The sequence below is a fragment of the Homo sapiens genome, chromosome 21 (genome assembly GCF_000001405.40).
Source record: "Homo sapiens chromosome 21, GRCh38.p14 Primary Assembly".
Classification (NCBI taxonomy): Eukaryota; Metazoa; Chordata; class Mammalia; order Primates; family Hominidae; genus Homo; species Homo sapiens.
This window is the reverse complement of record NC_000021.9, coordinates 13,590,172-13,603,014: the sequence shown is the minus strand read 5'-3', so window position 1 is coordinate 13,603,014 and position 12,843 is coordinate 13,590,172.

Here is a 12,843-nt window from a genome sequence, read left to right as displayed (position 1 = left end):
TAGACATAACTGCAAGGCATATGCTGTCTGACCATATTTCAGAGCACTCTAAATTATTTATTTGTTGTGTGCATCCTCCAGCCCTGACAAATCCCCAAGGATGAAATAAAGACTACACTCCTTTCCACTTCAAAGTTCCTCTCAGTTTTACTGTTCAAATTACGGTGGTGGCTGCTTTCCCCCTCTCTATTTGCTTGTCCTTTATCTGTTTTCTTTTTTCTTTCTTTTTTTTTTTTTTTTTTTTTTGAGACCGAGTCTCTCTCTGTCGCCCAGGCTGGAGTGCAGTGGCGCGATCTCGGCTCACCGCAACCTCTGACTCCCGGGTTCACACCATTCTCCTGCCTCAGCCCCACTAGTAGCTGGGACTACAGGTGCCCGCCACCACTCCTGGCTAATTTTTTGTATTTTTTAGTAGAGAAGAGGGTTTCGCCGTGTTAGCCAGGATGGTCTAGATCTCCTGACCTCGTGATCCGCCCAGTAAACTAGTTTTCTGTAGCTTGTATACTGTCATATATTCACAAGGATTCATAAAAGAAATATTCATTTTTACATTGTTTCATATCTCTTAATGCCTTTATTTTCTCTTTATTTTCCTTCAGATTTATGAACTAAAACGTTAATGCTTGAAGCTGAAACTTTTTCCCTCAGCTTTTGTACATGTAAATCTCTTTTTATATTGCAACTCTTCTTGCCATGTTCAAGGTTATTAAAATATGTTCACATTTTTGTAGATGGATTGTTGTGCTAGTAACATTTTTGTAAACACTTTTCCTTTGACTACCTTAATTTGCTTTCGAATTTTTTCACAATCCTTACAATATCATGAATTTTGAAAACATGGAGTAAGGGCTTCTGACATTAAGAAGAATGGGTTTAACGAAATCAGCTAATTTGGTTTCTGAGTATATTTTGCCACTCTTTAGCAAAACCATCATAAAATTGTGATAGAAGATGTCTGTTAGTTGTATGGGTGGATTGTTTTAAACACCGGCTGGGTATGCATAAACAGTCATTTTCTTTTTTTTTTGAGACAGAGTCTCACTCTGTCACCCAGGCTGGAGTGCAGTGGTGTGATCTTAGCTTGCTGCAAGCTCCACTTCCTGGGTTCATGCCATTCTCCTGCTCAGCCTCCTGAGTAGCTGGGACTACAGGCACCCACCACCAGGCCTGGCTACTTTTTTGTATTTTTAGTAGAGACAGGGTTTCACCGTGTTAGCCATGATGGTCTCGATCTCCTGACCTGGTGATTTGCCCGCCTCGGCCTCCCAAAGTGCTGGGATTACACATGTGAGCCACTGCACCCAGCCTATATAGTCATTTTTTAAGATAGAATTTTAATTTTAAAATAGCTTTAGATTGCTAGAAAATTGACTATAACACAGAGTGTTCTCCCATACCCCACACTCAGTTTCCTCTCTCAGTAACTTCTTGTATTGGTATGGTAACTTTTTTGAGACTAACAAACCAATACTGCCACATGATATTAAATTAAAGTCCATACATTGTTTAGATTTCCTTAATTGTTATCAAATGTTATGAAGCCATTTTGATAGGAGAAAAATTTATGGTATATATGAACAGATTGACCACCTCCAAAGAAAGAGGGGAGGTAAATAATAAGAGGGTCTGATGTTTTGCTATAATTTTTACAATCACAGTTTTAAATCATGGCATTTTCCAAAATTTATTAGCTATGTAATCATAGTCAAGTTACTTTGCCTCTTTAAGCCCTACTTCCTTTATGTAAAAGTGAGCAAAACAATAGTATCTCACAGATTGGTGATGAGCATTAAATAAAGTGTTGCAGATAAAGTTCTTAGTAAAGTCTGGAACATAGTTCTCAATAAATGTTGACTATTTTTGCTATTATTACTAAATTTAAAGGCTGAAGACAAGCTGACTGATAGTATTCAGAATTACTCATAGAATGTTTATATTGGCTCAGACTGATGAGTATAACAGAGCCAATATTCACATTGTCTCCAAGTACAATTTGCCCTATGAGACACCGGATATAGTAAGTAGCCCATCAGGTATCCAGCAGTAAAAACTAAATTAGAGGAAGGAAGTCCTGTCCCAACTGGTTTGACATATTGTGGCTGAATTTTTAGGTTTTAGTGAAAATAATAATGATGGCTTGATCTTCAAAGTTTTTTTTACCATTTCCCAAATAGCTGGGGATTATTGTAGTGTAACCACTTAAAACTCTGATGAAATGTGGGAAGAATTTCTTTTTCTAATTGATACTTTGTGAGTGCAACTACTTTGCATTGTGCAGAGAGAAAAATATATATTCCAGGTATTCGCCAAATCAAAAGTGCACAAAGAAGTCCCTAATTTCTTCCTGTCCTCAGATTTGCCATAAAGTTTCAGACCAAATAAAAAATTGTTTTTTCACTAATTTTCTTTTAGGAAATGTAAGAGAAAAAAAGAAAGAAACAAGTGTTTTGAAGGGTAGAATTTTGGCAATTATATGAGATTGTAAAATCTGAATGTGGATTAGCTTCAACCCATCAAAGATTCAAGAACAGCTACAGTTCTAAGAATGAGCCAAAAAAAAAAACAAAAAAAACAGGTATGCATTGAGGGGAGGGAATTAGGAAGGGAATTTATAGCCATTCAGACATTTTTCCAACATTAAGCCTTCACAAATTTTGCATTGGAAAGAAAAATTTATAAATTAAGAAACTCAGTATCCAGTCCACCCTGTGATAAATGCTGCAATGTGCCCAAGTATTCCTAGTTGAGTATGGCTTTGTGCTTTGCCAATCATAACAATGGGAGATAGAAGTAATAAGAGCCTGTATGAAGCACTGTGCTAATGATAATGTTCCCAGTAAGAACAAAAGAGAGGCTATTACTTTTAAACATCATTGAATATAATCAAACACTGGGTAGGCTTGTCTGTATTTAGATTTTATAACTCTATGTTTATAGCTATAAAATAAAAAAGACATGAAATTTCTGTCATTAAGAAAACTATTTATTATTACAAATGTGAATTTCTCTAGACGGTAAATTCTTTGGAATTAGTTGACTTCATGTAAGTTTATTTGTTCAGTAACACAGAGTAGACTTCTTGTAAATAGGAACAAGCATGCATCTGATCAAGATCCACTATTTTCTTACATATATATCCCTTTTCTGCCCTCCCTCAGAATACTATCTTTCACAAAACAACACACATCTCTTCCACCAACTTCTCCCCAGAATATTGCATATTCGATCAGTGTCCACAAATGTTAGATACAGCATGTTAAATTACTATTAGGTTGGTGCAAATGTAGTTGGGATTAATGGCAAAAATCGCAATTATTTTTGCACCAACCTAATAGTAACATTGAAAAACAGTATTAGTTATTCAACATCAGAAAGATCTTCTGGAACAGTCATCACCGCAGATGGGCCGAACTATTATTTATAGGACATTGCAGTAAGTTAGAATTTTGTCAAATTCATAAATTAATGGATATTTTGTTAAGGGATATGAACAGCCTGTAGTATAAATTTGAGCTACACATTGTTGGGAGAACAAAATAATAAAACAATATAATAGTAGCAATCACGTGGTGACCTTTCCGTCACACTTACAATTTTCAATGCACTTGTCTATTTATCATTTCAAGCGTGGATGGGTTAGCTGAGTGGCGGGGCCATCAGATGTCATATATACAGATGACTCCCTTCTATACACCCTTCTGCAATTAGTTGATGTATATTTTACCTTTGCTTTTCCCTTCCCATTTCACTACTAGTTAAAAATCCTAATCTTGAGTCCTAAATCACACCTAGTTTTACTCATGTGTAGTTGTACCTGACAAAGAATTACACTACATAAATTCCATCCATTAGAGGTGTGGCCAAATGGACAGAAAACCATTAACATTGATTACTTCAGTGCATGTGGGATTGCAAATGCAGATGAGAAGGAGAAGATTTTTATTTTTTCTTTATATAAGGTTTACCTTATTTATTCTAATAGAAGACTCAAGTATCATTTATAGTGAAACATTAAAACTTAAAAGTTCATGTCCTTAATGTTCTGTAAAGGGAGCATAAACTCATTTATTGCAACAAATGCAACAATTTATTTCATTCCTCAGATTATTGGTCCTAATATAAATAAAACTGTTCTGAACTTGCACAGATATATTTAAACAAACAAACGAAAACTAGAGAAGAAGTGAAAAAAAGAATGCTTTTTAAATTACTTAATCATTGTTGATGGACTGAAAACATCCAACTTACACCTCCTGAATTAAATCTGATATTTTCCTGGAGAGTAGTGAGGAGTAGTTGAGGGTAGATAGAAAACAGAGTGTATTCTGAAAAATGTAAAGTTTAGAGAAGCTTAATTTAAACACTCCCTGTGTGTCAAAGAGCTATTAAATAAAATTTTCATGATTTTAATGTAAGTCAATCTGAACTAGCATATGGTCTAAATTTCTCTTAGGTTGCACATGGATTTAAAATGTAGGGGGAAAAGATCACTTGGCAAATATGCTTTTGGTTTTGAAAAACTTCCAAATGTTTAAAAAGTACTTTTCAAATCAACCATAGCCATATGCATCCAGGTTTTCTCATTCTCACCACTGAAGGATAAAAAGAACTAGAATTAAGGCAAAATGGATGGAGAGGTCATACATATGCTGTAAAACTAAAAATCAGTTGATTCTTTAGGGAATTGGTTAAAAAATAAATTTAGTCCTTATGGCAATTTAACCCAAAGACTCTAACACTTATTCTTAGTGACTTAGGATCATGGATGATAGTAATCTGTCACAAAATGATTCTATGACTATTTCCAGAAGTGGAAAAGTGCACAAATAGAAAATGCACATGATATTACTATTTTATTTTGTTCCAAGTCTTGTTACTATTGGTGGAAAACAGTGTTCCAAAGGAATGAATATTTAGATAAATTATGGCATGAAGAATCATTTTCAATCCTTTATGCATAGATACATTGATAATAACTGAACATCTTTGGCATCTGGCTTCCAGATACAGTGACGATTCCCTCACGATATCTAGAAATTAAATAGATGTACATGAACACTTTAAAAAATGTAAAAACATTAAATGTCAGTTATTTTGAAATAAGTTATTTTTTTAAATAAGAAGCATTGTTAATTAAAAATTAGAAAATAGAGACCTATATTTGGACAATTAGTTACTCAATGTTTTTTCCAAATAACAGATGAAATATATTTTGACGTTTTTTGTTTTAAATAAATGCAAATATATATATGCAAAACAAATCAGACATTGCTACAAATGAAATATGTGTGCTGTCTGTAATTCTCAAACATTGAATAATATTCAGTGAACTTCAACACATGCCTTTGGTGGCCCGTTAAAATTCATTATAATGAATTTTGAATTAGATTCCAAAATGAACACACTATTTTCTTAGCTTTTAGTGTCTGTCGGTTTTTTCTATTTTCATTTTTTTTTTTTGACTGAGGTGGAGTCTCACTCTGTCACCCAGGCTGGAGTGCAGTAGTGCAATCTCGGCTTACTGCAAGCACCGCCTCCCAAGTTCAAGTGATTCTCTTACCTCAGCTTCTCAAGTAGCTGAGGTTACAGGTGCGTGCCACCACGCCCAGCTAATTTTTGTATTTTTGGTAGAGATGAGGTTTCACCATGCTGGCCAGGCTGGTCTCGAACTCCCGACCTCAGGTGATCCACCCACCTTGGCCTCCCAGATTGCTGGGATTACAGGCGTGAGCCACTGCACCTGGCTGGTTTTTTTTTTTTTTTTTTTCTATTTTCATTACTAAGACTAAACAATAGTTATGTGACTGAATACAGCTGATCATTTTACCAACTCCTTTCAGCAAATTCATCTTGTCATTTTAATTAAGTACAAATTTAAGAAGTGAATAAATATAGATACTATAGCACATATATTTCCCAAAACATAATATGTGTGTGTGTGTGTGTGTGTGTGTGTGTGTGTGTGTGTCTGTGTGCATTTGGGAAATAAAAGAGTATTATATTTTACTCAAACAACATCAAACATGCGGTCAGGTAAGTTTGATGAAGAAGGTAATATTTCAGCCTAAGAACGAAAATTCTGTAAGACAATGTGTTACTTTATAGTATCAGTTATGTGACCCTTCCACACTGATATTTTGGGTGCAATTAAACCCTCTTTGCCATATACTCTTGGGAGAATAGAAGGTTCTTCACATTTTTCAATTCATTATAACTTCTCCTGTAGGACGGCCCACAAATACCTTTCCTGGACTATATTAAGGAAACAAAAGCAAACAAATATGAGAAAATAATAAAGGTAAGTGTCTGGGAGGGTGGGAAATCAAATTCAGTGGGGTTTAAACTATATCTCATACAAGTGCCCCAAAGTTGTGCTTTTGGAGAAATTCACCTTGGAAAGAGACATGGTCAAGTGATATATTCCCTTTACCTTTTTTAAAAAACAATACATAGCTGTATCCTTGGAAGAGAGGCAAGGAGTGCTGTAGGGTGACTATCTTTGATTTCTGTTGTGCTTCAGGGGAAGTGTAACTTTCTTAAAAGATACCTTGACTTTTGTCATATTTAGCTATTCGTTCCTTTTTATTTAGGAAAAAGAGTCTGAGCCTGCTGTGGCTTGGGCTCTTATTATCTTTTCTTGGGCTTCTTGGATCTCATAAATGATAACTCTACTTTTATTGTTGCCTTCTCCAAAGGAACCTGAATACCAGCGTCACCTTCATTTACCCTAAAGCATGATTCTCTGCCTAAGAAAACCCCTATAGTTGACATTTACATTTACTTTATACCTCTCTTAATCTTTTGAGGAATGCCTCTCTACCTATTCTGCATAGTAAAGTTCTAATTACAACTATGAAACAGATATTTCCTTCTTTTCTTATGTTTTATATATTGAATTACTTTATTATTGCCAAGCACAATCTGCTTTGCTAAATTATTCAATATAAGCTTGCCTCTTCCATTAGACTTTGGAATTCCTGAGATAAGAAATTACGTTTTATTCTGAAAGTGTGCTTAAATCAATGGAAAGATGGTTTGTCCAAACAGGATATAGAGGAATAGAGTTATTCTGTACACAGCCACCTTTAGTTGCAAGAGCAGCTAGAAATAGGAGTTATGCTACCTTTTTAAACACATGTCCTCAGCCGGGCGCAGTGGCTAGTGCCTGTAATCCCAGCAATTTGGGAGGCTGAGGCAGGCGGATCAGGAGGTCAGGAGATCGAGACCATCCTGGCTAACACGGTGAAACCCAACTCTACTAAAAATAAAAATAAAATAAAATAAAATAAAATAAAATAAAATAAAATAAAATAAAATAAATTAGCTGGGTGTGGTGGTGAACGCCAATAGAGGCAGAAAATCATTCGTTTTAACATCCATTCATGTCTGTAAAAAATTCTAAGTACATTGGAAATGAAAGGGACCCTCTCCAGTCCAATAAAGGGCAATTATGAAAAACCTACAGCAACCATTATAACATATGATAAAATCTTGAATGCATGCCCCCTTAAGATTAGGAAGAATGCAAGTATTCATGCTCTCACCACTTCTATTCAACATGTGCTAACCACTGAAATAAAGTTTTTTTTTTAAAGGTATTAATATTAGGAAGAAAAAAATAAAAATCTATTTATTCATAGAAGAAATATATGTGTAGAGCATACTATGGTGTCTTTAAAGAACTATAATTTACAAGGAAATTTATCAAGGGTTGCAGGATACAAGATCCACATTTAAAAATCAAATCTTGGTGAGAATGTGAAACAACTATTAACTCTGAAAAATGAAACAAAGTAAACTTAAATGTTCTTCTTCTTCCTTTGATTTTTTTGTATAAAGTGTTAAGGATATAAAAATATTAGAAGTCGTGCCATAAAAGTAAAAAAAGAAAAAAACAATTCTCTTTGAATTTTTATTTTTTGACTTTTTTTTTTGAGACGGAGTCTCACTCTGTCGCCCAGGCTGAGTGCAGTGGTGCGATCTCGGCTCACTGCAAGCTCCACCTCCCGGGTTCAGGCCATTCTCCTGCCTCAGCCTCCTAAGTAGCTGGGACTACAGGCGCCCGCCACCACGCCCAGCTAATTTTTTTTTTTTTTTGTATTTTGTATTAGAGACGGGGTTTCACCGTGTTAGCCAGAATGGTCTCGATCTCCTGACCTCGTGATCTGCCCACCTTGGCCTCCCAAAGTGCTGGGATTTAAGGTGTGAGCCACCGTGCCCAGCCATTTTTTGACTTTTTAATAACAGTCCTTCTGACTGGTGTGAGATGGTATCTCATTGTGGTTTTGATTTGCATTTCTCTAATGAATAGTCAAGCTGAGCATTTTTTTTTCATATGCTTATTGGCCGTATACATGTTTTCTTTTGGAAAGTATCTGTTCATGTAAAAAGTGGTAATATTTTTTGAGAAAAAAATGAATAAATTCAGAGACAAACTCTTTTGTTGGTTAAAAGTAATATTATTGAATATATACATGCCAATGCATAAATTGAATACAATTTAATAAAATACCAGTAATACTTTTCATTGTAAAATTAATTCAAGATTATCTGGAGGAAAAAATCTATCCAAGGTGATAAAACTTTCCTAGAAGGATTAAAAAGTCTCCATTTTGAGGACTATTTTAGATCTTCAGATTAATTTTATCTTATGTATTAGAGTGAACATTAAGAGGTGAGTAAGATCCTGGATTATATGCACAATTATGAAAAAAATCATGTTTTTAAAAGTTTTGGTGGCAAGACTAACCTACTCCAAGATGGGGTTGTTATTCCACCTAAGAACGTATCTAACCTCATTCATTTTGCTTCCTTTCTCTATTTTCCTTTGTGCAGCTCTCTTTATCATTGTTTTCTTTTTGTGGTTATATGGATTTGTAGACTGTGCATTTATATGGACTGCCATGCGAGCTGTCACAGCCCAGGCAGTGGAGTGTGGTTGGCTTGTGGGTAGTAAGAAGAATTTACCAACAACTGTATAGATTTGGAAAGGAAAGCTGTATTAGATGGAAAGAATGCTGCAGAGAAGTGCAGCAGGGCTCCTCAGCAAGAGAGGACTGAGTATGCCACTGCACTAGATTTTTCCTTAGGGTATTTATGGACCTTAAAGTGGGAGCTTAAGGGTAATTTTTACCATATTAGCCACATAGGTCATGGTAAACAATTACATTTATAGACATTTTGGTGCCTTGATGTCAGCAAGGGTTGCACAATGAGTTTAGAATACATGCATTCCAGAGATGCATAGAAATTCTGGTTACTCACAAATTTTTGGAAAAGAAATCTCATACCAGATGCCAGCTTTACATAATAGGGATGTCTAATTACTTCTGAATTCCTTGGATAAGGAGTTCTGCCTCTGGATGGTCTTGCTCTCCTCGTGGACTAGTATCTCTCTGTCTCTTCACCTTTTTTTTTTTTAAGTCATACGACTATCTTTCCATTTATGTCTCTGCTAGTCTTTCTTTTCCCTTTTCTCTTGGTTTTTATTTTGATTATTGTAACTTTTTCTGTACTTCTCTCTCCTTTCTTCTTTCTTTCCTTTTTCTACTCTTACACTTTGTTTTTAAACTGTGAAATAAATTAGAACAAATATATTTGGTGCTAAATTATGTTTATTACCCCCAAATCTGTGTTCTTATTTCACTTGTAAAGTGACCCATAAACTCAGTGTTTTCTTTAAAGCAAAAGATTAAAATAATTTTAAAATAAAATAAAATTAATTTGCATTTTTTTCTGACTCAATTAATTTTTAAAATTAATAATCTTTAATGGAAAAATGTTTTTCATCCTTGTTTTAGTTGAGCAGAGTGAAAGGGAACAAATTACAAATACCAAGATCATGACACATCTTTTCATGCTATGTAGGAGGTCACCTTCCCTTTAGCAATTGTTCTATCCTATACCAAGAAACTATTTTCTCTAAGAAGAATTATGCAACAGTATTCATGAGCTTTTCAATATTTCCTTTGCTAATGTCCTTATCACCGTCAACATCCTACAACTGAGGAAGGTGCTTATCTTGCATGCAAAATTTAAAGGTGTGCCCAAAAATTCAATAGTAGAGATAAATATTTTAATCAATATTTTGAGAAATCAAAATTAATTTTAAAATTTGTGATAAAGTACCAAATTTTAAGCAAAGTCAGGATCAGCAACTGCCATGTTGAGCCATGTTGGAACCTGAGGCAACAGGAAAAATAAATAATATTGGTGAAGTCTTTTTTAAAAATTATACTTTAAGTTCTGGGATACATGTGTAGAATATGCAGGTTTGTTACATAGGTAAATATGTGCCATGGTGGTTTGCTGCACCCATCAACCTGTCACCTACACTAGGTATTTCTCCTAATGCTATTCTTCCCCTAGCCCCCCACCCTGTGACAGGCCCCCGTGTGGGATGTTCCCCTCCCTGTGTCCCTGTGTTCTCATTGTTCAACTCCCACTTAAGAGTGAGAACATGTGGTGTTTGGTTTTCTGTTCCTGTGTTAGTTTGCTGAGAATGATGGTTTCTAGCTTCATCCATGTCCCTGCAAATGACATGAACTCATCCTTTTTTATGGCTGCATAGTATTCCATAATGTATATGTGACCCATTTTCTTTATCCAGTCTATGATTGATGGGCATTTGGGTTGGTTCCAAGTCTTTGCTATTGTGAACAGTGCCGCAGTAAACATACATGTGCATGTGTCTTTATAGTAGAATGATATATAATTCTTTGGGTATATACCCAGTAATGGGATTGCTGGGTCAAATGGTATTTCTGGTTCTACATCCTTGAGGAATCGCTACACTGTCTTCCACAATGGTTGAACTAATTTACCCTCCCACCAACAGTGTAAAAGGGTTCCTATTTCTCCACATCCTCTCCAGCATCTGTTGTTTCCTCACCTTTTAATGATCACCATTCTAACTGGCATGAGATGGTATCTCATTGTGGTTTTGATTTGCATTTCTCTAATGACCAGTGATGATGAGCTTTTTTTTCATATGTTTGTTGGCTGCATAAATGTCTTCTTTTGAGAAGTGTCTGTTCATATCCTTTGCTCACTTTTTGATGGGGTTGTTTTTTTCTTGTAAATTTGTTTAAGTTCCCTGTAGATTCTAGATATTAGCCCTTTGTCAGATGGATAGATTGCAAAAATTTCCTCTCATTCTGTAGGTTGACTGTCCACTCTGATGAGAGTTTTTTTTTTTTTTTCTGTGCAGAAGCTCTTTGGTTTAATTAGATCCCATTTGTCAATTTTGGCTTTTGTTGCCATTGGTTTTGGTGTTTTAGTCATGAAGTCTTTGCCAATGCCTATGTCCTGAGTGGTATTGCCTAGGTTTTCTTCTAGGGTTTTTATGGTTTTAGGTTTTCCATTTAAGCCTTTAATCCATCTTGAGTTAATTTTGTATAAGGTGTAAGGAAGGGGTTCAGTTTCAGTTTTCTGCATATGTCTAGCCAGTTTTCACATCATTTATTAAATACGGAATCCTTTTCCCATTGCTTGCTTTTGTCAGGCTTGTTAAAGATCAGATGGTTGTAGATGTGTGGCATTATTTCTAAGGCCTCTTTTCTGTTCCATTGGTCTATATATCTGTTTTGGTACCAGCACCATGCTGTTTTGGTTACTGCGGCCTTGTAGTATAGTTTGAAGTCAGGTAGTGTGATGCCTCCAGATTTGTTCTTTTTGCTTAGGATTGTCTTGGCTATACAGGCTCTTTTTTGGTTCCATATGAAATTTAAAGTTGTTTTTTCTAATTCTGTGAAGAAAGTCAATGGTAGCTTGATGGGGATAGCATTGAATCTGTAAATTACTTTGGGCAGTATGGCCATTTTCATGATATTGATTCTTCCTATCCATGAGCACAGAACGTTTTTCCATTTGTTTGTGTCCTCTCTTTTTCCTTGAGCAGTGGTTTGTAATTCTCCTTGAAGAGGTCCTTCATATCCCTTGTTAGTTGTATTCCTAGGTATTTTATTCTCTTTGTAGCAATTGTGAATGGGAGTTCACTCATGATTTGGCTGTTTATCTATTAATGGTGTATAGGAATGTTTGTAATTTTTGCACATTGATTTTGTATCCCGAGACTGCTGAAGTTGCTTATCAGCTTAAGGAGATTTTGGGCTAAGATGATGGGGTTTTCTAAATATACAATCATGTCATCTGCAAACTTTGACAATTTACCTCCCTCTCTTCCTATTTGAATACGCTTTATTTCTTTCTCTTCCCTGATTGCCCTGGCCAGAACTTCCAATGCTGTGTTGAATAAGAATGGTGAGAAAGGGCATCCTTGTCTTGTGCTGGTTTTCAAACAGAATGCTTCCAGCTTTTGCCCATTCGGTATGATATTGGCTGTGGGTGTGTCATAAATAGCTCTTATTATTTTCAGATACGTTCCATCAATACCTAGTTTATTTAGAGTTTTTAGCATGAAGGGGTGAATTTTATCGAAGGCCTTTTCTGCATCTATTGAGATAATCATGTGATGTTTGTCATTGGTTCTGTTTATGTGATGGATTATGTTTACTGATTGGGTATGTTGAACCAGCCTTGCATCCCAGGGATGAAGCCAACTTGATCATGGTGGATAAGCTTTTTGATGTGCTGCTGGAATTGGTTTGCCAGTATTTTATTGAGGATTTTTGCACTGATGTTCATCAGGGATATTGGCCTGAAATTTTCTTTTTTATGTGTGTCTCTGCCAGGTTTTGGTATCAGGATGATGTTGGCCTCATAAAATGAGTTAGGGAGGAGTCCCTCTTTTTCTATTGTTTGTAATAGTTTCTGAAGGAATGGTACCAGCTCCTCTTTGTACCTCCGGTAGCATTTGGAAGGCAAGCTGATTAGCAACCTTAA